This window comes from Homo sapiens, chromosome 13 (assembly GCF_000001405.40).
Source record: "Homo sapiens chromosome 13, GRCh38.p14 Primary Assembly".
Lineage (NCBI taxonomy): Eukaryota > Metazoa > Chordata > Mammalia > Primates > Hominidae > Homo > Homo sapiens.
In genome coordinates this window covers 26,113,758-26,139,141 of record NC_000013.11, presented here as the reverse complement: position 1 = coordinate 26,139,141, position 25,384 = coordinate 26,113,758, and the positions used below count along the sequence as shown (strand labels likewise).

General features: G+C 40.0%; 1 protein-coding gene and 2 pseudogenes across 5 annotated transcripts in view; all 3 read left to right on the top strand.

Annotated features, from left to right (window-relative positions):
* The window catches only part of RNF6 (ring finger protein 6), a 90,971-nt gene extending 83,944 nt beyond the window's left edge, over positions 1-7,027 (top strand). For all 5 annotated transcript variants that reach the window (XM_047430500.1, NM_183045.1, XM_047430498.1 and 2 more), the window contains exon 6: positions 6,691-7,027. In XM_047430500.1, the coding sequence (XP_047286456.1) occupies positions 6,691-6,711 (21 nt within the window). In that variant the 3' untranslated portion in view covers positions 6,712-7,027. The remainder of the gene's footprint in view (positions 1-6,690) is intronic.
* ATP8A2P3 (ATPase phospholipid transporting 8A2 pseudogene 3) overlaps positions 1-24,733 on the top strand; it is a 39,767-nt pseudogene extending 15,034 nt beyond the window's left edge.
* Positions 20,155-23,320, top strand: PRUNE1P1 (PRUNE1 pseudogene 1; annotated as a pseudogene).

The window sequence follows — 25,384 nt, the reverse complement described above, 5'->3', positions numbered from 1 at the left end:
GAGCCCCCATCAGAGTCCTTTGCTATCTGTAAGCATTGGCTAGCCCTGGGAAAGACAATCTCTCTCTGGACAGCAAAGAATTTTAAGATGTCGAAACATATAAGATACAGAAAGTTAAAAAACATGGTTAATATAATTGTATTTGGAAGAGCAAATAGCTAAGAATAATCAAGGCGCTTACAAAGAAGAAGAATAATTTGAGGATACCCGTCTGACCAGATGTGAAGTGATACTATTTAATTTACGGTGGTTTAAAAAGCACAATTTGGCACAAGATTAGAAAAATGAGGCCAATGGAAGACAGTGGAGAATCCAGAAACAAACCTGCCTTCTTTTATGCTAAATAGATATATTCTAGTATCATTTTCATTCCTTGTTATTTCTTTAACTACATATTTTTTAGTTATTTTCTTAGTGGTTGGCTTGGGGATTACTATTAGCATCTTAATCTTAATTTATAACAATCTCATTTGAATTAATACCCTTTTAATTTCCATAGTATATAAAACCTGCTCCAAAATAGCTTCACCCCCTTTTCCCTCTTTTTGCTATTATTATCACAAATTACATCTTTATTCATCATCTGCCCATGAACACTGATTTATAATTATTGCTTTATGCATTTGACTTTCAAATTAGAGAGGAGAAAACAAGGAGTTACAAAGAAAAAAATATATATAACTGTCTTTTCCATTTACCTATAGAGTTGTCTTAATGAATATTCTTATTTTCTTCATGTGGATTCATATACAGTTTAGTAACCTTTCATTTCAGGCTGAATAACCCCCTTTAGTATTTATTGTAGGGCAAGTCTATTAGTGACAACGTCTCTCAGTTTTTGTTTATTTGGGAATGTCATAACTATTCCCTCATTTTTGAAGGACAGTTTTACTCGATATAAAATTATTGGTTGACAATTTTTTCCTTCCAGTACTTTGGATATGTCATCCTAGTGTCTTCTCTATGCCAAAGTTTCTGCTGAGAAATTAGCTGTTAATATTTTTTAGTGTAACTTAGATGTGATTAGTAGCTTCTTTCTTGCTTTCAAGATTCTCTTGGCTTTGCCTTTCAGTAGTTTGATTACAATTTGTTTAGGTGTGCATCTCTTTGAGTATATACCACTTGGAGTCCTATTTTGTTAAGCTTCTTGGGTGTGTAGATTAATGCTTTCCATCACATTGGGGTAGCTTTTGGCCATTATTTCTTTAAATGTTCTTCTTCATGTGTCTTCCTCCTTTCCTCTAGGATTTTCATTATGCTTATGTTGGTATGCTTGATTTTGTCTCATAGGTCTCTAAGACTGTTTGTTTTTCTTAATTTTTTATGCATGCTGTTTCACACACTGGGTCATTTCAGTAGATCTATCTCCAAGTTTGCTGAGTCTTTCTCCTGTCTGCTAAAATCTTCTCTTGAGCCTCTCTAGTGAATTTCTCGTTTCAGTTATTGGGCTTTTCAACCCCAGAGTTTCTATTTGTTTTTTTTTTTTTTATAATTTCTATCTCTTTATTGATATTCTCAATTTAGTGAGACATATTCTTATATATTATTTCTTTCAACATAATTCCTTCTAGCTCTTTGAAGATACTCAACATAACTGATAAAAAGTTCTGTCTAATAAGCCCAAAGTCTAGACTTTGAGACAATTTCTATTGATTGCTTTTATCTCAGTGAATGGGAAAGATGCAAGATACTTACTTGTATCTTTTCATGTCTCATAATTTTTTTTGTAGAAAAGTGAACATTTTAAGTAATATAATGGGCAATTCTGTAAATCACCTTTCTTCTCTTCAGGATTTGTTTTTGTTGCTGCTCATTCTAATTTTCTTTAAAAAAAAAGCTCTTTAGTTAATCTATTATTTACCCCAATTGCTATCCATCACCTCAGGCAGCTGCAATATTAATGCACTTTTCTGTAGACATTTTCAACAAATTTCACCCTCCTGCATCAGGAAGAGGCTTTGAGCACTGGGTAAGCTTTAGTGAGGTTAAATAAAAACAAGCTTTCAGGGGGAAGTCTTCTAGAGAACCATCAAACAGATCCAGTAATGGATCTTTGGGAATGAGGATTTTCGAAGGAGCTGTAGCTTTGTTTAGCTTCCTCAGTAATGAGAATGTGAGTTGTTATTTTTCAAAGTTACCACTGAGCTAGAAAGCAGGGGATGGAAATAGAGCAAGTTAAAACATCACAAAGCTCACAGCTCTTACCAAGATTCATCCGTTTTTCTTGAATAAAAGCTCCCTGGATTGCTTTAAGCTTTTGGTTCATTTTCACGGCTTTGAAAAAGTTGATTCTGATGACTTTTGCCAGTTTTCTCATTGTGTTTTTTATAGAGGAAAGGGATTTTGGAGATCCTTTATCATATCACTGGCCTCCCCAGTGAGGCCATATTTTTGATATTAGATTACATATTAGTCATTTTTTGGGGGTATATGTCTCAACCAGTTAAATTAATACAGATTGTTTTACTTTAAACCTGATATTTCAGTGAATAAGACACAGCCAAAAGACAGAAGTCAGAGTTTAAGATCCAATAAACTTCCGTGAACGATTTGTGTTATTCTTTGTGGCTTTTCCTCCAAAATTACTCATTTTCATAAATGTGTTGTCATTTGACATGGAATAAAATCTGGCAAGGTAAATGTTAGTTAATTCAGTGCCTTGATCCCCTAACTGTTGAGGTTAAATGGAAGCAGAGAAGCCTCAAGTGTAGTTTTGTCTGCTCTATTCACACTTGTTCTGGAAGATGTACTCTCATTCTAAAGGCCATAGAGCTTGGGCCTTTGGAAATTATAATGGACCCATTTTAGAAAACAACATAATTTTAGATTTGACTATTCTGATCTATATAACATCTGTTCATCCTCAGCAATTTCTCTTCTTGGGGTTAAAGAGTAATCACACAGGACTATAAGGGTAGATGCTTTTCTACTGAGCTGCTCTGCAAGATGAATTTTAGGCTGGTCCAATCAGACTGCAAACATCTCCTGGTGAAGTGGTTGTTTGTAGTCCTTTTAATTTTGAGGAACAATTATTGATGTAGGTCACTGTATTAGTCTGTTTGCATTGCTGTAAAGAAATACCTGAGGCTAGGTAATTTATAAAGAAAAGAGGTTTATTTGGCTCATGATTCTCCAGACTGTACATGAAACATAGTGCCAGCAGCTGCTTCTGGTGAAGGCCCCTGGAAACTTATGATCACAGTGGAAGGCCAAGGGGAGCCAGCATATCACATGGTGAGAGAGGAAGCAAGAGAGCGAGGGAGGAGGTGCCAGTCTCCTTTAAACAACCAGATCTTGCAACGAAATTATAGAGTGAAAACTCACTCATCACTATAAGGACAGCACCAAGACATTCTTGAGGGATCCACCCCCATGATGCAAACACCACCTCCTAGGCCTACCACCAACATTGGTGGTCACAGTCCTACGTGAGATTTGGAGGGGACAAAACATCCAAACCTTAGGAGTCACATTTCATATTTACCATTATTAGGAAAATAATTTGATGAAGAGATAGTAATTCAATATCATTTATTTTATTTTTCTAGTCAACCTCAATTGATGTGTTATATAGCAACAGCTAATCTGGATAGAGAGACAGATCTAAAGATATGGCAGATAAAGACACTGTTTCTTATCCTAATTTTACATCTGGGCCCACAATGTCAAGTTTTGTCAAATGCCAGCTGTGTTTTCACAAAAAAATTATCTCAGCACTATTGAGTGGATGTAATTTATCCTCACCAGATATTAAAATGGTACATTATTATTATTATTATAAAGGGAAGCCAGGTGACTGCTATTATTGCTATAAAAAGTATGTGCTATAAAATTCAGATAATAAAGATAATGAACCCTTAAACATATTGTTTTGAAGCTATTAGTTCTCTGATGTTAAAATTACTGCCATGGCTCAAGGTCATGGCTAGATTGCAAGGGGTGGTTGCAAATGAACTGTAAGAGATCTTATATACCACTGCTTTTAAAACTACCATTTGAATTTCAGAAAAACTTATGATCACAAATGCAAGGAGATGGTTTTCCAATTAACTTTTTGTTAATGGGAAAAACATATTGCTCTTTAAGATAATTCATCCCCTGCCTTATTAGTTTTCTTAGTAAAAAAGCCTCTGATTTTACATTTGTCTATTCACGTTTGTTTACCAATCTTTTTTTGTTAACTTTAACTTAATTAAAAATGGAAAAATGAGAACTTGTTAAAGTAATACATCATCTTTTTAAAAATAATATAAATAATACAGAAACATATGTAGTCTATTTAACCCTCTCCATTTCCAAATTTCACCTTTATTCCCAATGGTAATTATTTTAATAGTTTGGTGGTAACTTCCGGATTTTTTAAAGTGCAATTACAGAGTTTGATTTCTGGGAAGATGGAGTAGATATACTTTTCCCCATTTTTCCTGCTAAGAACAACAAACAACTTTGGGCATTATATAAAGAAAAAACCTACGAAGACTCTGAAAGTTTGGGAGAAGAAAGCAGACTGGGCTAGTGTTCTTGGAACCCATAGAACAACATGGTGGTGAGTTCCCTGAGTTTTCCATTTATCTCATACATCTGGGGCTTCGACAGAAGAAGCCAGAAACCCAGAAAGATCAATGGACACTGACAAAAAAACTCAAAAAACCAAAAAAAAACAAAAAACAAAAACCTCAACCAAAGCCTGTTCTCTCCAGTCAAAAGACCAGGAAAGGAGCAACTTAACAAGACAAAATGTTGACACCATAGTAAAAATGTGGCCTCACGCTCACCCATGCCGGCAAAGGCCGAGTAGGGAGCCTCAACTCCCAGACAGTAGTGAAGTACCCCAAATCCCCTATAAGGGTAGTGTCAGAGGAGGCCAGGTAGGAAGCCAGGACTTTCATTTCTGCCAGGCAGTAATGAAGTCCTTCCCTCTTTTCATAGTGTCAGTGGAGACGATGTGGATGGCAGAAGGCATTCCAATTCCTTCATGCCAGGAAAGTATCAGGAAAGGTCTACGGGAGGGTCAGAACTCTCACCCTTTCCCAGCTGTAACAAGGAGCTCCTCCTTGGCTGTCAACAGAGGTCAAGTGTGCAACTGGTACTTTATCCCCCATCTTGCAGTAATGACGCAATACCTCCTTTCCCCTGTTGGAGGTATGTCAGAGGAAACCAGATAAAACAGACAGTTTAAATGATATCCAGAGTCTCATAACCTAATAACCAAAACATCTAGGTTTCAATTGAAAATCTTCGTCATATATATCAAAAACCAGGAAGATCTTAAACTGAATGAAAAAATACAGTCAATTGATGTCAACATCAAGAAAATAGAAATCTTAGAATTATCCGAGAGATTTTAAAGCATCCATCATATGATTTCTTCAGGGAGCAATTACAAACATGCCTGAAACAAATGGAAAAATAAAAACTCAGCAAAATAAACAGAAAATCCCAGCAAAGAAATAGAAAGTACAAGAAACATCCAGCTAGAAATTTTAGAAATTAAATATACAAAACTGAAATGTAAAAACCTCTAGGGATAGGCTTAACAGCAAACAGGAAGGGACAGAAGAAAGAATCAGTGGACTGAAAGACAAAACAATAGAAATTACCCAATTTGAACAATAGAGAGGAAACAGACTGACAAACGTGATCAGGTTTCAAGGACCTTTGGGAACATAACCAAACAGCTAACCTTCATGTCACCAGAGTCCTGGAAGGAGAAGAGAGAGAATAGGCCAGAAAAATTTGGCTGAAAACTTTCCCAATTTGCCAAAAAACACAAACTGTAGATTCAACAAGCCGAGCCAACCAAAAGAGATAAATCCAAACAAATCCATACCAGCACATATAATAGTCAAACTTATGAAAATAAATTTCAGAAAATGTTGACAGCAGTGAGAGAAAAATGACACTTTACCTATAGGGGAAAGGTAATTTGAATAACAGAAAAATTTTCATAAAAACCCATCAATCTAGAGGTCTTTTATTTCAATACTTAAAAATCCACTGTCTTCCTGTATCTTGTATTCTGTGAAAAAGACTTTGGACAATTTTATTCTTATTCTCTTGAAGATAATCTGCCTCTTCTCTGTCTGTAAAGCTGACATCATCTTATTTTATTGGAATAAGGCATTCTCTAGATCAGTGGTTTTCAAAGTCTGATCTCTGGCTCAGCAACAGCATCATCTTGTGGGAACTGTTAGAAATGCAAATTCTGGCACCCCCCACCGCAGAACCACCAAAGAAAAAACCCTGTGGGTGGATCCCAGGAATCTGTATTTTAACAAGACCTTTTGGTGAATCTGATGCCTGCAAAAAGTTTGGAACCACTGTTCTAAATCCTTGCTACTCAAAGTGTGATCGATAGTTCAAAATCATCAGCTACATACATAAATGTATCAAATGTTATACGGTCATGGTGATTACACTTTCAAAAACAATACTTTCAGTACAGGTGATGAAAACTTAATGTTTCTACCTCTTTTCTTTTTATTAAAGTTATTTGCAAAATGCTGGGATGGCAACATCTTCTAACAAGGTTTATATTAAAGTGTGATGTGCATTATTTTATTATCTAGTGAGTGCAATACATTTTTAGATACTATCATAATCTTTTATTAATTACTAAAGACATGGAAGTTTAAACATAGTACATTAAACTTCTACTTTTATTTTTCTCTCTTTGGTTTTATTTTGTAGGCTTTGCCAGATACAAGCTGAAGTGCTACCAGAAAACCAGTTGTTAAGTCTATCTGGAAAAATAGACTGTGAAGCACCTCATCTTCATTTCAATAGCTTCGCTGGAACCTGGAGCCTAAGGGGTAAAATGTATTATCTTTCTCTTCACAAACAGTTTTTTTTCTTTTATGGAACATAGAATATGACAACATTTGTTTTGTCAACTGATTACATTTTAAAACATTGTACTTGTTCATATTGTACTTGGCTTTGAAATACCCTGAAGCATCTATGGAATTGTAATTTATTGTAATGCAATAAGCATTTATGTAATTAAAAAAAAGCATTCTTAAATATGGCTGGAAAGTGTATGGCAGTTTCTTAGTCAGTATACCTACCTGTAAATATCTACGATCCTTGGAGTAAATCAGTGGGAAGAACAAGGTGTTGAAAGGTTTGATGATGATAGAGGAGTTTGCTCCATACTTCCACATTTTCCACTACAAGTTTCTTAGGAGGATCTTTTTTTTTTTTTTTTTTTTTTTTTTATATGGAGTCTCTCTCTGTCCCCCAGGCTGGAGTGCAGTGGCACCATCTTGGCTCACTGCAATCTCCACCTCCTGGGTTCAACCAATTCTCCTGCCTCACCTTCCCGAGTAGCTGGGATTACAGGCTTCCACCAGCACGCCCGGCTAATTTTTGTATTTTTAGTAGAGACGGGGTTTCACCATATGTTGGCCAGGCTGGTCTCGAACTCCTGACCTCAGATGATCCGCCCTCCTCGATGTCCTAAAGTGCTAGGATTACAGGCATGAGCCACCACTCCCAGCCCATCTTTTACATAGCAAGTCAATCCAGTGCTGGAGGGGTGGAGGCCAAGAAAACATGGCCGACTGAGCTAGCTCTGAATTACCACATGTAATCCTTTCTATAGATTGCTAAATTGGCACACAGGTTTCTATTTGTCTACGTCATCTTCTCTGACAAATAAATTTTATAGTTACCCTAGGTGTAAGAGATGGTTTTTTTCTCTAAAATTTTTGATTGACATTTGTTTGGAATGGTGAGAAATGGATACTAAAACAAAACATTTTTCCAGACTCTTTTAGGAATAGGTGCTTTTTATGAAAAAACATTTGTTGTTTTGTCATTTGCTCAAAAAATTGAACTTGACAATAGGAAATATATGTAAGGTAAAACCTGGGCTTTTTTACATTGTGAAAAGAGAAAATTTCTTTGGTACTTTATAAATGATATTTTTGCATTTTTAGCCCTGTTCCAATTGGGCCTGATCAGGTCTTGTTTAGAGGTACACAGCTTGGAAATACTCAGTGGATCATTGGTGTAGCTGTTTAGACTGGATTTGAAATGAAACTCATGCAGTTAAAATTATCTGTGATGATAAATAGTACTGCTACTCGACTTTTCCTTCTGCTTTGATGAAGTGAGGGAGTTTAGTATATATCTCTTAAATTTAGAAGGCTAATTTGTGTTTATTACCCTGAAATTTTCAGAGAGGTTCGTATCTCATCTCTGGTTTTAGATATTTCTTCTGACTTTTAAAATTATTTCTTACCAGACATTTATTGCCTAAAGCACAATTATCCTGTGTCTTCAGGGGCTGGGGGAAATTTTGTTTTAACTTAGGTTTTCCTTGTTTACATAAGTTGAGTATATTTTACATAGTCCGAAATGAATGATTTTTTGTAAACAATGTGTGTTTCTTTGCTTTCATTTATCAAAAAAGTTTTCATATGAATAATGCTTGTTTTACATTACATCTGCATTGATTGATTTTACTCTATATATGGCCCCTAGTTATGGTTAAGAATTTTTTTTTTTTTTTTTTTTTTGCCAAAATGACATTAGGAGTTCTACCCAACTTTGGCCGGGCGTGGCAGCTCACGCCTGTAATCTCAGCACTTTGGGAGGCCGAGGTGGGTGGATCACCTGAGGTCAGGAGATCAGACCATCCTGGCTAACACGGTGAAACCCCGTCTCTACTAAAAGTACAAAAAAAAAAAAAAAAAAAAAGTTAGCCGGGCGTGGTGGCGGGCGCCTGTAGTCCCAGCTACTCGGGAGGCTGAGGCAGGAGAATGGTGTGAACCAGGGAGGTGGAGCTTGCAGTGAGCTGAGATCACGCCACTGCACTCCAGCCTGGGCGACAGAGCCAGACTCCGTCTCAAAAAAAAAAAAGAAGCTCTACCCAACTTCTCACTCACATGTACCATTTCTCTCTATTGCTATCTTTCTTTTGATCACCCCTCAGGACATCTTGTTTTTGTGTGTGTTGTTTTTTTGTTGTTGTTTTTTGTTTTTTCATCTGAAGAGAATCTCAACTAAGTCTTGTTTTGGACTAGGAATTTCCTGAATGTTTATTATTAATGAAAAGTAAATTGACAGCAAATCTACCCATTTTTTCCATTTTCTAAAACGCATTTGGCTTTCGCTCTTCCTTCCACAGTTAGCATATAATGCAAGACGTTGTGCTGAGACCTTGGGGTACAGTGAGAAACAGGATGTTTCCTGCCCCCGAGGTATTTATAATGTATGGAGGAAGACAGTCAAAGTAATAGCATACTGACAGTAAATGAAGAAGGGAAAGTATAGGATGCCCCGTGTCCACATTGGAGCCCCTTCCAACCTAATACTGAGGCTTCCATGAGGAAGTAACACACAAACTGAAACCTTAAGGATGAGAACAGATGGAAATTAAAAGGAGTTGGGAGGGAAGAATGAAGGGGAGCCTCATAGGAGAGCTCTAGGCCAAGAATATTGCCCATGTCCAAAGGCAATTTGGCAAGTGCAGCTCAGTGTGACTGCTGTGTAGAGGGCAGAAGGAGGCATGGAGTGGTGAGAGACTCGTCAAAGAAAGCTGGGCCCCGTGTGACTGAGGAACTGGGTGCATGCTCTTGCGGAACTATGGCCAGCTCAGGACCACATCACTTCGTATTTGCTTTGCATTTGTTTTGTCATCCCAAAGAGTTAGAATCCTCAGAGCTTCAAGAAATATACTGTGTTTTAGGCCAGGCGTGGTGGCTCACGCCTGTAATTCCAGCACTCTGGGAGGCCGAGGCTGGTGGATCACCTGAGGTCAGGAATTCAAGACCAGCCTGGCCAACATGGCGAAACCCTGTCTCTACTGAAAATACAAAAAATTAGCCAGGCGTGGTGGTGGGCACCTGTAGTCCCAGCTACTCAGGAGGCTGAGGCAGGAGAATCGCTTGAATCCCAGAGGCGGAGGTTGCACTGAGCTGAGATTGCACCACTGCACTCCAGCCTGGGTGACAGAGCAAGACTCTGTCTCAAAAAAAAAAATCATTATATGTATACATACATATACATGTTTCATTTCCCCAACGCTGCTTCAGGTCTCTTTGACTTCACACCTACTGTTATTTCCAGCTAGAATTAGAATACCCTGCTCATTCACTTCCCCTCATCTGCATGTAACGAACTTCTTGTTTCAACTTGGTTCATCTCCTTTCCTGAGATCCCCTCTAGGCCCCCTACTTTGTGCTGTTGTCCCTGTGCTCAGCGCTCAGTGCCACTCTGGAATTCGTCATACTGTATTTCCTAACCCAGCTGACTTTCCCAAGCTTCACGCTAAGTTCCCTGAGGGCAAAGTTGGTATCTTCTTTGATCTTGAATCTCAAAGCTTCCCATACTCCTTATTACATGGCTGGTGTGGAACTAATATACATTTTAAAATATTTAATATTTGTGTCCACTTTTAATCATAATTTTCATAGAGAAAATTCCAAAATTTAAAAATACAATAGTGCAAACAAAGATGAATAAAGGCATTGCCGGAAGCTGTGAGGTGGTGTCTCTGATGTTTTTCCAGAGGTTCCAGCTCCCATGTCATTTTGTTTGACATATTGGTGTTCATCATCTTTTTTTTTTGAGACAGAATCTCACTCTGTCACCCAGGCTGGAGTACAGTGCTGTGATCTTGGCTGGCTGCAACCTCCGCCTCCCGGGTTCAAGCGATTCTCCTGCCTCAGCCTTCCAAGTAGCTGGGATTACAGGTGCTCGCTACCATGCCCGGCTAATTTTTGTATTTTTAGTAGAGACGGGGTTTCACCATGTTGACCAGGCTGGTCAAGATCTCCTGACCTCAGGTGATCCACCCATCTCAGCCTCCTAAAGTGCTGGGATTACAGGCGTGAGCAACCATGCCTGGTCTATCATTTTGTACCAGAACCTCATCCCTATGCTGGTCACTATGGAAATTGTGAAATATATTCAGGCCCAGTTTATAAACTGAGTGAGTATTAAAATCAGAAAATTAAAAAAATTATTTCTTAAGGCATAGCTTTTGTGTTCCTTTTAAGAGTCAATGTAACTGTCCTCATGATGGAACTAGTCTAAGCCAAGCATTGCTATCAACGTGGCTCAGCTCTGCTTGTCCTCTTTGTGTTCATCTTGAGGATGCCATTTTTTAACATATTTGTTTTAACTGATAAAGGTTTAAGAGAGAGTGGTTTAGCGGTAAATGTAGAGAGATAGTTAATCCATTAAGATTGAAAACAGTCAATAAAGAAGGGGAGGAGAGTCCAGTAGACTTACAAATCTAGGCTAGAATGACAGACACATAATCATTCCCGAATTACTTCACATTCAAGAAAAGATTTCTTAGGGGACAACTGGGTATTGACTGTCATAAATACTTAATAAGTTGGGACTGAACTAATTTTCTAGTGTGAACATGGGGTTGCAAAATTTAGTTATATTTAAAAATTATTTTTGGGCCAGGCGCCGTGGTTCATGGCTGTAATCCCAGCACTTTGGGTGGCTGAGGCAGGTGGATTGCTTGAGCCCAGGAGTTGGAGACCAGCTTGGGCAACATGGTGAAACCTGGTCTCTAGTAAAAATACAAAAATTAGTCAGGTGTGGTGGCGCACTCCTGTAATCCCGGCTACTTGGGAGGCTGAGGCACAAGGATCACTTGAACCTGAGAGGCAGAGGTTTCAGTGAGCCAAGATGGCACCACTGCACTCCAACCTGAGCAACACAGCGAGACTCAGTCTCAAAAAAACATTTTTTTAAAAAATTAAATTATTGCTAAATGTCACATATTAAAAATATCCTCTCGATATACCATTGGCTTGCCAACATTTGAAGAGGAATATTATTTTAACAGCCACAACATGAAGCAGGTGCTTTCAAATGCATTCTCTTTCCCAAGAGAGCTGTGAGATCTGTATTGTTGCTTCCATTTTATAGATGTAGTAGCTGAGGCACAGAGATGTTAATTAACTTTCTTAAGGGCCACAGCTTGTCTGAGGCAGAGCCAGGGCTTTGCAAGCCAAGTTTTCCAACTTCAGATCACCAACACATCAAAATTTATTTCTACATGGCACTGCCTCTCCTGATTTGATTCTGCTAATATGTGAGAAACTAAAGATACACTCTATCTTTAATCCAAGTATTCTACATTCTCCATTGTGAAGTCTTTCTAAATGTCAGTCACATAGAGAGCTCAGTGGCAGCGTGAAAGACTTTTTCATTTCTTGCAGGATGAAGATATGCATTATAAAATCAATAATATCTGTGCCATGGCCAGAACATTCAATCTCAATGAAGAACTTGGGCAGGTGAGGGCTCCTTTAAGGACTGGACAATGTGATAGGAGCTTTAAAGAAGCCTCTAGGGAGAACTTGTGCAAATTAAAATGCCAAAGTCAGCCACAGAGTATAGCTTTAATGGACATACATGGAGCCAGGGGGGAATTTAAATCATACTTTGTTCAAAATATTGATAATGCTGCATCATGGGTAATACTGCATCATGGGTAATTGACAATACTGTATCATGGGTAATAATATTGCCTCATGGGGTAGTTGATAATACAGTGTTAGGTTCAAGCAGAACAGATCTAATATAGGTTATTATGTACTTATGAAAGAATGGAAGAGCTAGAGGGGAAGATAGTGAAGGTTATTTTCAGCTCTCAGGTCGCAATGAGCTTTCAGAGTCAGGAACCTGCTGGCAGGAGCCCCCTTGCCCTGCCTCCCTGGGGCAGATGACCCACAGCAAGCATCCCAAGACTGCTAGAAATTTCAGAGGCTGCTACAAAGTTTTACATCTGCCAAACTCAACAGTCTGCTCACCACTGCCAGAAGAACAATAATAAAGCTTCTACTTTTTTACTGAACATTCCTCTGAAAGGCAGAACCTGACTTGGAATCAGGCTGATGAGAGATCAGGAGAAATGCACACCACCCCGGCCAGTCCCTGCAGGACAATAGAAAGAGATGGGAGCAAAGTCAGGTTACCAATGGACAGTCAGCACAATAGCTTTGTTTAATTTCCCTTTTAAATTACAATCACGTCTTTATAGGTGTAAATTACATTTTTAAAAACTCCCACGCTTGTACAGTACCTAGAAAAAGAAAGACATTTAATTATTTTTTTCTAGCCACTTTTTGTTCTTAATATGTTTTACTGGATTGCAATTTTCTATTTTTCAATGAATCGGGGACAATATATAAATTGTGGTAAAAGGCAGAGTTTTGAGTTAAATTTCCTGGGTATGATTCCTGGCTTTACTATTCATCAGCAGTGTCATCTTGGGCCTCTCATGTAACTTCCCTGGTCTTGATCTCTAATCTCTAAAATGGGCATGACAATAGAATCTATGTCATGAGGTTGCTATGAGGATTGAATAAAATACTGTATATGCAAGGCATTCAACACAGTGTCTAGTGTATAGTACCAACTTAATTAATGCTAGTCATTATAACCAGTAATTGGTAGATATACTTTCTAATTTCTAGTTACCTTGTATAGCATCATTTGAATAATGAATTTTCAGTAAGTATTTAAAAAGGATTTTGACTCCTGGAAATGTCTGTTCAGAGAATTACAACAGCAGCCTTTTGACCTTGGAGAACTAAAGATGAAGGAGGGTGGAATAATCAAATCTCCAGTACGCTTTTTTTTTTCTTTTTTTTTTTGAAACAGCATCTTACCCTGTCACCCAGGCCGGAGTGCAGTGGCGCAATTTCAGCTCACTGCAACCTCAGCCTCCCAAGTTCAAATGATTCTCCTCTCTCAGCCTCCCAAGTAGCTGGAATTACAGGTGTGCACCACCACTCCTGGTTAATTTTTGTATTTTTAGTAGAGACAGGGTTTTGCCATGTTGGCAAGGCTGGTCTCGAACTACTGACCTCAAATGATCCGCCCACCTTGGTCTCCCAAAGTGCTGGGATTACAGGCGTGAGCTGCCGTGCCTGGCCCAAATCTCCAGTACTTTTTCTGCTCATAAAAATCTGATTATTTGCTAATCCTTTAGAATGTATGGTTTCTATTGACAGTTGGAAAAGGATCACTTCATTCACGCTGCCTAGTCAAGTGACCCTAGCCTCTTTAGGTAAGTGATTCAATATATTATTAATAAAAGTTACCTTTGGTTCAAGCTTTGAAAATAAATTATATTGTTTATGTAGGTAAAACACAAAGATCAGAAATCAATGACATTTGAAACAGCAAGACGAAAGGGAGTTTAACATCCAGCATATATGAATAACTACAACCCTACAGAAAAAAAATCCAGTTCAAAACTCGGCAAAGGATTTAAGTAGACATTTTTTCCAAGAAGATATACAAATGTCCAAGGAGTACGTGAAAAGCTTCTCAGCATCATTAATCATTAGGAAAATGCAAATCAGAATCACAATGAGCCATTACCTCATACCCATTAGGATGGCTATTTTTTTAAAGCAAAAAAAAAAAAAAGGTGTAGCTGCTATGGAAAATAATATGCTGGTTCCTCAACAAAATAAATATAGAATTACCATATGATCCAGTAATTCCACATTTAGGTGTATACACAAAAAAGCTAAAAGCAGAACCTCAAAGAGGTCTTGTATACCAATGTTCATAAAATCATTATTTACAGTAGCAAAACGGTAGAAAAATCTCTAATGACTATCAGTGGATGAATGGATAAACAAAGTATGGTCTATCTACACAATGAAACATACCCAGTTTTAAAAAGGAGTGAAATTCTGATGGATGCTACAACATAGATGAACCTTGAGGCCTTATGCTAGATGAAATATGCCAGACACAAAAGGACAATTATTGTATGATTCCACCTATCTGAAATACCTGGAATTCTCATATTCATAGAGACAGACAGTAGAATAGTGGTTTCCAGGATGGGGAAAAGAGGAGAACAGGAAGTGATTGTTCAATAGATATGGAGTTTCGCTTGGGATGATGAAAAAGTTCTGGAGATGATGGTGGTGATGACTGCACAACAATGTGAATGTACTTAATGACATGTAAAAATGGTTAAAATGGTAAATATTATCTTATGTATATTTTACCAATAATAAAAATACTTTAACACTGTTTGTCTCTTGCAGTTATACGCTACTTTTGTCTAGTATTTTGATTTTAAAATCTTTTAACCCTGCCAATAAGACTACTATTGTCATCATTATTTTATGCAGCAGTGCTTATTTAGATTTATCCACATACTTATCAATGTCCTTGCTCACCTTTAATTCTCATAACTCAGAACTTTCGTCTGAGTTTGCACATATGTCACCTAAATGAACTCCTGCCTCAATGATGACCTAAATGATGTGTTTAAAGTTTCCTTTAGAGAGGGGTTGGTGGACAAATCTCTCAAATTTCACGTCTGAAAATGTCCTTACTTCTCCCTACTTGAAATATTGTTACTTTTTCCCAGAATCTTGAAACTATTCCATCATCTTATACCATTGATGGTTTTGAGAAGCTACTCATCAGTCTAGCATTGATAGCTGGGCATGTGGTTGGTCTTTGCTTTCTGCTTTGAAATTTTTCTCTTTAGACCACTATGGTTTCACTACTGCGTAACTTTTTATTTATCCTATCCGGATTCACTGGGCTCCCAGAATATGAGGATCAATGACTTTCAGCAACTTTGGAAAACTCCGATCTATGTTTAAATATTGACTCATCTCCAGCCTCCATTTTCTTTCCCTTTGGATTTCCAACTAGATGTATGTTGGCCCTTTTATCTCTGCCTTCTGGCCTCTTACCCTCCAGTCATATCTCCTATCTCATTATCTCTCTGCACTGAATAATTTCTTCCCATTTATCTTTCTGTTTTTTTTTTTTTTTTTTTTTTTTTTTTGGAGACAGAGTCTCACTCTGTTGGCCAGGGTCAAGTGCAGTGTGGCATGATCTCAGCTCACTGCAACCTCTGCCTTCTGGGTTCAAGCGATTCTCCTGCCTCAGACTCCTAAGAAGCTGGGATTACAGGTGTGTGCTACCACACCCAGCTAATTTTTGTATTTTTAGTAGAGACAGGGTTTCACCATGTTGGCCAGCCTGGTCTCGAACTCCTGACCTCAAGTAATCTGCCCTCCTCAGCCGTCCAAAGTGCTGGGATTACAGGCATGAGCCACTGCGCCTGGCCTCTTTCTGCTTTCTAATTGTCTCTTCATTTGACTCTGTGGTTTAATCTTTCAGAGAAGTTTTAAGTTATACATATATATATGTGTATATATATGTATATATATGTATATACGTATATACGTATATACGTATACATATGTATATACATATATATATATGTGTGTGTGTGTATATATATATATGGTTTTGCTCTGTCACCCAGGCTGGAGTGCAGTCATGTGATCTCGGCTCACAGCAACCTCTGCCTCCTGAGTTCAAGTGATTCTCCTGGCTCAGCCTCCTGAGTAGCTAGGTGCGCACCACCAAACCCGGCTAATTTTTGTATTCTTTAGTAGAGATGGGGTTTCCCCATGTTGGCCAGGCTGGTCTCGAACTCCTGACCTCAAGTGGTCCACCCACCCTAGGCCTCCCAAAGTGCTGGGATTACAGGAGTGAGCCACCATGCCCAGCAAGTTTTATGTTTTTCAACCATTATAATTTTAACTTTCTAGAAGTTTATTTTAAAAATATACGGTTTATTTTTATTTTCTTGTTCCTTGTTCATGTTTTTAAACTGTTTTTAAAAACCACACAAAACCTATTTATTTCATATTCTCAGTCTATCCAAATTATTTGTGGATCTGATTCTTTTTCTCTTGTATCTGCTGGTTTTCACTTAGGGTGCCTTGTTTTAACTATGACCCCATGATCCTTGGAAGTTTTTTTTGGTAGGAATTCTTGAAGGTCTGGGTTGAAGTTGCATCTCTGCAGAAAGATTTGCATTTACTTCTGCCAATCACTTGAGACTACATTAATTTAAATCCTCTACTTGAGAAGGTTTGAATCCATGGGTCATGTGAATTTGGCCACAAGTTCCTGGAGAGGCCAGCTTGCATTGACATTCTCTAGAAAAATATATTTTTCTTCCATCCAGTCTCAGGGTTCAATCAGGCAAATGTGTGTGCCATCCCATTCTGCTGAGCAGTTTACTTCTCTTTAATGCTTGTTTTTAGGTGGTATCCCTCTTGTTCAGATTTATGGAGGGGTGTTCCATGACACTCTCCACCTGGGGCAGCCATGTACTTCTAGCCCCTGTGCAACCTTCAAGATAAAAACCTTAGGATTCCAGGGCACTTTTTCTTAGAGCACTCTTAGAGCTCACTTTGATACTCACCTTCCTTTCATGGTTTGAATTTGAATTTCCACCTACCTTCTACAGGTCTGAGTTTGACCTCGGAGGATTGCTTACTTCTGGAACAACTTTGGGATGTATTTTAAAATATGAGCTTTTTTTCTTTATCCTGCATTATGCTTGTTTTTGTCATAAGGGTTGTTCACATTGTTAGTTCATCATATTCCACAATATAGAAGACTCATTTGCCTTTTTCAATAGTAGATCTTTTTTCACTTTCCCAATATCAAGTTTTTTTTTTCTTTTTTTTAAAGACAGGGTCTCACTCTGTCAGGCAAGCTCACTGCAGCCTCAACCTCCCCAGGTACAAGCAATCCTCCCACTTCAGCCTCCCAAGCAGCTGGGACTACAGGAATACACCACCACACCGGTTTAATTTTTTTTTATTTCTAGTAGAGATGAGGTCTTGCTATGTTGCCCAGCCTGGTCTTGAACTCCTGAATTCTAGCAATCCTCCTGCCTTGGCGTGTATAAAGTCCCAGCTACTCAGGAGGCTGAGGCGCGAGGATCGCGTGAGCCCAGGGGTCAAGGCTGCAGTGAGCTATGATTGTACCACTGCACTCCAACCTGGGTGACAGGGTGAGACTGTCAAAAAACAAAAAAGAAAAAGAGAGAAGAGTATGTCCTCCTAAAAAAAAAAGCGTAAATAATCAGGAGTTTGAGACCAGCTTGGCCAATATGGTGAAACTCTGTCTTTATTAAAAATACAAAAGTTAGCTGGGTGTTGTGGCAGGCACTTGTAGTCCCAGATACTTGGGAGACTGAGGCAGGAGAATTGCTTGAACCGGGGAGGCGGGGCTTGCAGTGAGCCGAGATCAAGCCACTGAACTCTGGCCTGAGAGACAGAGGGAAAAAGAAAGAAAAAGGAGGAAGAACTTCATTTTGTTGTCTTGCCCTCTAAATTTGTTTTAAATTCATGTGGTTTATTGTGTTCATTTTTATTTTGTGTAGGTACAGTATCAATTTTCTAATAAAACGGGAACCCTCACTTGCAATATTATGACATATAAGAAGTGTATCATTGCAGGTGTAATTTACAGGAAAGTGTTTTTATTGCCATACTCTGTTAGAAATTCTCTTTTTGGGGCGGGGGGTGGAGTCTCTCTCTCTCACCCAGGCTGGAGTGCAGTGGCACAATCTCGGCTCACTGCAACCTCCGCCTCCTGGGTTCAAGCGATTCTCCTGCCTCAGCCTCCCGAGTAGCTGGGACAACGGACGCGCACCACCATGCCCGGCTAATTTTTTGTAATTTTAGTAGAGACAGGGTTTCACCGTGTTAGCCATAATGGTCTCGATCTCTGGACCTCATGATCTGCCTGCCTTGTCCTCCCAAGGTGTTGGGATTATAGGCGTGAGCCACTGCGCCTGGCCAGAAATTCTCATTTTTTTTCTTAAAATTAATTAGTTTTTATTTACTCTAAGACTTAACTGAATTTCTAAAGCTATAGCTGTATCTGAATGAGACTGAAATGTAAAGCTTAAAATGCAAACTTGTAGTTATTTTAAAAATATGATTTACATCTGCTTTGATACATGTTAGAATTCCCAAGGAGTTTTATACGTAGAGTCTTGAAACGATTACATTTCCTCCCTCATTTCCCTGTAGAAGTTATTCAGGCAGAAGTCCTATTCTTTTCTACTTTTCCCTTGCTCCCTTTTCCTGCAACCAACTTTTATCAGTACCAGAGTATTGACATATAATACCAGAGTTCTCTCTTGTTCAGATCTCAAATGGCAGTTTCCAGAAGCTCCTCTGGACAGATCTTCCCCGTGCGGTAGTCAGACAGCCTAGAATCTAACCATGAATTTATTGCTTTCGTAGCCACTCTGGCTCAAATTCCCTATAACCGTACAGTTCTCAACACAGGTTTAGGCATCTTCGGATGCCATTTTGCAGCTTTGAGGGCTGGGAGGATGTATCATTGGACAGAACTGTAAGTATTATTATAGTTCTGCAGACTCTTTGTGATCCTCTTAAAAACAGAAGATGGGCTGTGTGTGTATTTCAGATCCTTTTGAATATTGACTGGCACCACCGGGAACTTTTTGTTAATCTTTTCTATTTTTCCTCATAGTCAGACACCTTCTTCCATCCCAGCATCCTGTGAATTTAACGACCCCAAGTTATTGGAGAACTTTGAGAATGGCCATGTAAGCCTGTTATTTTCATTCTAAGTTGACACAGTGGTGCTATATAACTTCAAAATATCTATATGGCTTCCTAAAAGGTATCATGTTCTGAACCCAGGAAGAGGGAGAGGGTCTTGACATTTTTTGATGTTCATATAATAAGCAAGGGATTTTGTACTGATATTATGAGCTAAGCACTGAATTTATGAGCATGAGTGAATTTAAACATTATACAAGAAGTTTTACTATGTAGCAGTCTCTGTTAAGACTGTTTATTTGCTTTTAAACTATTTGGTTCTATTGCATGCTACCAATATCTTCACTTATCTATTTTAAGACATTGATCTACTTGATCTGGAATCTTGATCTTCTCAAAAACTAAAGCGACCTTTTAAAGCATACATTTATACATGTCCGTCCCTTGCTTAGAAACCTCTTGAGGACTGGCACCACACTTAACATAAAATCTGAACTCATTACCATGGTCTACTCTCCAACCTCATTCTGTCATTGTTCCCCTTGCTTGAGATGCTAAAGGCACACTTGCCTGGAAGCTCCACAAACACACCAAGCTGTTTCCTGACTCGGAGCCTTTGGACATACTATTCCCTTTGTCAGCTATGTGCTACTGTCACCATCAGCTATACAGCTAACTAACCTTTTTGTTTCGATATTAATTTTAAATGTCATCTCCTCCAGCATTATTCCCTGACCATCTATCTAAAATATGTCCTTCTCTAGCGCCTGAGTTCCTTGACTAGGGTGACGGCAAACTTTGGGCTTCACCGTGGAGGACTACCTGCAGGCCTGTCGAGCTACCCTGCACAAGTCCCGACCTCTACATGTTGTGCTGGGAAATGAAGCCTGTGATTTGGACTCCATGGTGTCTGCTCTTGCCCTGCTTTTTTTTTTTTTTTTTTGAGACAGAGTCTAGCTCTGTCACCCAGGCTGGAGTGCAGTGGTGTGATCTCAGCTCACTGCAAGCTCCGCCTCCTGTGTTCACGCCATTCTCCTGCCTCAGCCTCCTGAGTAGCTGGGACTACAGGCACCCGCCACTGCGCCCGGCTAATTTTTTGTATTTTTACTAGAGAAGGGGTTTCACCGTGGTCTCGATCTCCTGATCTCGTGATCTGCCCGCCTCGGCCCTTGCCCTGCTTTTTACCTGGTAAAGACAACTGAGACAGAAGGAAGTCTTTGTGGCAGTTTTAAATATAGAACATTCTGAGCTACCTCTGCAAGGTGGCATCATCTTCCTTCTTCAGAAGATTCATATTCCAGAGACTATCTTGGATTTTTGGGATGAGATTGACCTCCATGCGTTGCACCAGGCTGGCTAACTCACCCTTATCCTTGTCGACCATCGTATCTTACCTAAGAACCATCATACTGGATTGTGTCAACATGGACCTTAAAATTGGAAAGGCAACCCTTAAAGACAGCAATATGTGGAGAAGCTAGAGGTCCTCTTCCCAGATCTACCCAAGAGAAATGATATCTTTGATTCCCTACAAAAGGCAAAGTTCAAGGTATCAGGACTGACTACTGAGCAGATGCTGAGAAAGGACCAGAAGACCTTTTATAGACAAGGCATCAAGGTGGCCATTCATGCAATCTATATGGATTTGGAAGCCTTACTGCTGAGGTCTGACCTCCTTGCAGATCCCCATGCTTTCTGCCAGGCTCGCAGCTATGATGTCCTGATTGCCATGACTATCTTTTTCAACGCTCACAACGAGCCAGTGCGGTGGTTGGCTATTTTGTCTCCACGTGGTGCTCTGAACAATGCTCTGTGGAGTCCTGGAACGCTCCCACTCTCCGTCCCTGAAGCTGACTCCTGACCTAAGCACCTCTCTAACCTCCAAGCCCATCTTCAAGGCAACACCCAGATCTCTTGAAAGAAATTTCTGCCTCTGCTCCAGGAAGCCCTGTCAGCATATTTTGACTCCAGATCCCTTTAGGACAGCCTGAGACAGTGGGTGTGTCCAGGGAGCAGGTGGACAAGGAATTGGACAGGGCAAGTAACTCCCTGATTCCTGGACTGAGTCCAGATGAGGAGGACCCTCTGCTGCCCCCCACGTCCATGAACAGCCTGGTGGATGAGTGCTCTCTGGAACAGGGCTGCCTAAACTCTCTGCTGAGGCCATCCTTGAGAAGTGCAGTGAGATCTCACTGTCACAGTCTACCACTGCCTCCCTGTCCAAGAAATGACTGTTGGGAGGGGAAGTGGCAGTGAGTGAGGCTACCCGATTCACCTCAAATGCATGTTTTGAGATGTTTGGAGATTCAGCCATTCTGTCTTCATTGCTCCAGGATCTGGTATACTGTTCTTATAAAACTGAGAGGAGAAAAAAAAGCAGCTGGTTTAAGAATGGCTTTCCGGCCAGGCGCGGTGGCTCATGCCTTGTAATCCCAGCACTTAGGGAGGCCGAGGTGGGCAGATCACGAGGTCAGAAGATCGAGACCATCCTGGCCAACATGGTGAAACCCCGTCTCTACTAAAAATACAAAAAATTAGCTAGGTGTGGTGGCGGGCGCCTGTAGTCCCAGCTACTCCAGAGGCTGACGCAGGAGAATGGTGTGAACCCAGGAGGCAGAGCTTGCAGTGAGCCAAGAATGCACCACTGCACTCCAGCCTGGGCGACACAGCAAGACTCCATCTCAAAAAAAAAAAAAAGGCTTTCCACTTTTTCCCCTTAATCTCTACCAATCAGACACATTTTATTATTTAAATCTGCACTCACTTCTTTCAGTTTGTTTGCCAGGGGCACAATATGATACACCCACAATCCCAGCAGAGTGGACAAAAACAACGTAGACCCCAAAAGTGCCCACAGCACAGATAGTGAACAGAACCAATGCCTGTCACGGAACCAAACATGCATTGGTCATCTCCGTGTATTCATTCATTCACTTATTCATTCAAGTATTGCAGATTTCCAGCTCCGCAACTCTTCCTGCAGCCCCCATTTAGGTGATGGTGTTTGACTGAGGGGTGGCTGAATTTCTATTCTGACCTTGTTGTCACTGTTTCAAGTCTTGTTTGGGAGCAGATTAGGGGCCATTATCTTCTGTCCTGATTAGGTGGCCTGGGTCTCTGTTTCTTTGGATCCCTGTGTCCAGAGCCACAGGAACCTTGAAGAAACCTTGATGACTGCTGATTCTTGAGAATCAAGGAAGCACGCAGAAAGGCCTTAAGACCTCATGGGCAGTCTTCCAAAAAGACAGCAGAAGTGGAATGAGATGCCTGGGTCCGCCCCTGCCTTAGCAAGTCTACCCATTTCTTGTCCATTTTTTTTCTCCTTGCTCATGTTAAAAGGCAGCATGGAATTCTAATACTGCCATAAACTGTGTCTTTTGGCAAGACCTTCTACTCTAGGTCTCATTTTTCCAATCTGTAAAACAGGGTTTGGACTAGATGTTCCCTGGTATTCTGTGATCTGCCTCTGGCTGCCATTCTTTCTCTCCTCTGCCTCTCTGTATTTTTCTTCTGTTTTCCCTGGGGGTGCTCAGGTTCACTTGATCATCTGTATTTATGTGCAATTGTACCAAGAACTCAGCCTCATGTAGCATGGAAGGTGTATGGTTCATGGTGTGGTGACCCAGCAGAGATCTCCCTCCTGCTGACTTGCTCTGTGTGTGGAGAGTCTTCCCCTTTTTTTCAGACCAACCATTTACCCCTTTTCCTACCTCACAGCTCTATTCCGTGTAAGTTGCCAGCAATTTCACTGAACGGTGGGGTATGTGATGGCTTTGGCATGACATCTTTCAGTACGAAGGGGGACAGTCTGACATCACTTTGAGGGTGTGATGTCTATAGCTACGTGGAAGGTAAAAATAGTGGTGTGATGACTGAACCAAAGGAATTTATATTTTGTAACTTGGATATTTTACTTTGCATTTTGTTAAAGTATTAAATACTTTTTTCCTGTTAAAAAAAAAAGGCTGGGCACAGTGGCTCATGCCTGTAATCCCAGCACTTTGGGAGGCCAAGACAGGCAGATTACTTGAGGTCAGGAGTTCAAGACCACCCTGGCCAACATGGTAAAACCTCATCTCTACTAAAAATGCAAAAATTGCTGGGCATGGTCGTGGGCACTTGCAATCTTAGCTACTCAGGAGGCTGAGACAGGAGAATCACTTGAACGTGGGAGGTGAAGGTTGTAGTGAGCCGAGATCACACTATTATACTCCAGGCTGGGCAACAGAGCTAGACTCCATCTCAAAAACAATACAATACAATACAATACAATACAATACAATACAATACAATACAATACAATACAATACGCCCTTCTTTTCTCTATCAGAGTCCCTATTTGTTTTCTTCAGTTTTGGGAAATTCCGTCTCTCCAATGAGAATAAAGCTTCAAGAAGGCAGGATCACCTTGTTTTCTGAGGTCTCTCCAGCCTCCTATACCATCCTGGCCTCGGTAGCCACCCCACAAATACATTTTGAATGCATGATATGGCTTTTCACTGGTGCCTGACTTTGTGTGTACCTGAGGTCAAAACACAGTTGGTGCAAATTTTAGACCATATATACCTCTTGTGTTATTGATGTTGAAAGACACTCACTAATTTTGTGCCTTTCTTTTTTTATAGCCCACAAAAGACTATATAACAGAATTTCTTATCCTGTTATCTGTGTGCCACTCTGTTATTCCCAAGAGAGATGGAAATAATATAATCCACCAGGCTTCCTCCCCCAGGTAGATGTTAAGTGCGCATAGTTCTTTGTGCCTGGCTGGTGATGAGGCCTCAGAAGAGGTAGGTGCTATCACTGATCACCTTAATTGCTTCTGCCTTTCTCCTTCCCTGGAGTTCTTATAGCACTCATGGTTCACCCCCCAAGACTGCCATAAAGAGGCTGTGAGGGTGCTCAGAATTTGGGGCTCAGCAGTGCGTTTGGTTATCATCAGTAACAAAACAGAGGTAAAGTTAAGGCCTTGCAACATTTTATGGAGTTACTATGAATGGCTTTGAGAAGAAACAAGATCATTATGAACAGTAAGGAAGTATTTCACCCTCAGCCTGGTAAATTCATCTCAGCCCCACTGAAAGAGGCCCTTTTTAACCAAATTTCCTCTTTTGTGAACACAAGCTGGTCCCTAGACAGACAGATAAGTGCATTTGGATAAAAAAAAAGCCAAGTTTAAAACATGGACACAGTATTAGTGCTGGAGACTGGAAATCTGTTTTAAATTCAATTCAGTGTGATTATATTTGCTCAATTTCTACTAATATAAACTTTTTACTGACAATGAAGCAGCTTTAGCGAAAGGAGCAAAAAAACTTGGCTTTGTTTTCACTACCAGAACACCATCCTCTGTCACCATAGACACTGTGAGCAGCACCCCGAATGCTTTTCAATGCATTACATTTACCTGCCTTTCCAGAGAGCTGCAAGGGTACAGTGGTTCAGAACAGGAGCCCTGGAGTCACAGTGCCTTGGGTTTCAACCTGGCTCCACACCTGCCCAGCCATCATTCTTGGGAACATTCCTTAACTTCTCTATATTTGCCCCAGTTTTATCATCAAGCAAATCATAGGGTCCTTGTGAGGATAAGACAAGTTAATCTATGTACAGTAATTGAAATTAGTGCCTGACACATAGAAGGTGCACAATTAAAGTAAGCTATTCCAAAGAGTTAGAATCCTCAGAGCTTCAAGAAATATACTGTGTTTTAAGCCGGGCGCAGTGGCTCACACCTGTAATCCCAACACTTTGGGAGGCAGAAGTAGGCGAATCAACTGAGGTCGGGTGTTCGAGACCAGCCTGGCCAACATGGTGAAACCCTGTCTCTGGTAAAAATACAAAAATTAGTCGGTTGTGGTGGCAGGTGCCTGTAATCCCAGCTACTCAGGAGGCTGAGGCAGGAGAATCACTTAAACCTGGGAGGTGGAGGTTGCAGTGAGCTGAGATTGTACCACTGCACTCCAGCCTGGGCAACAAGAAAAAAAAAAAAGAAAGAAAGAAATATATATTCTATTTTT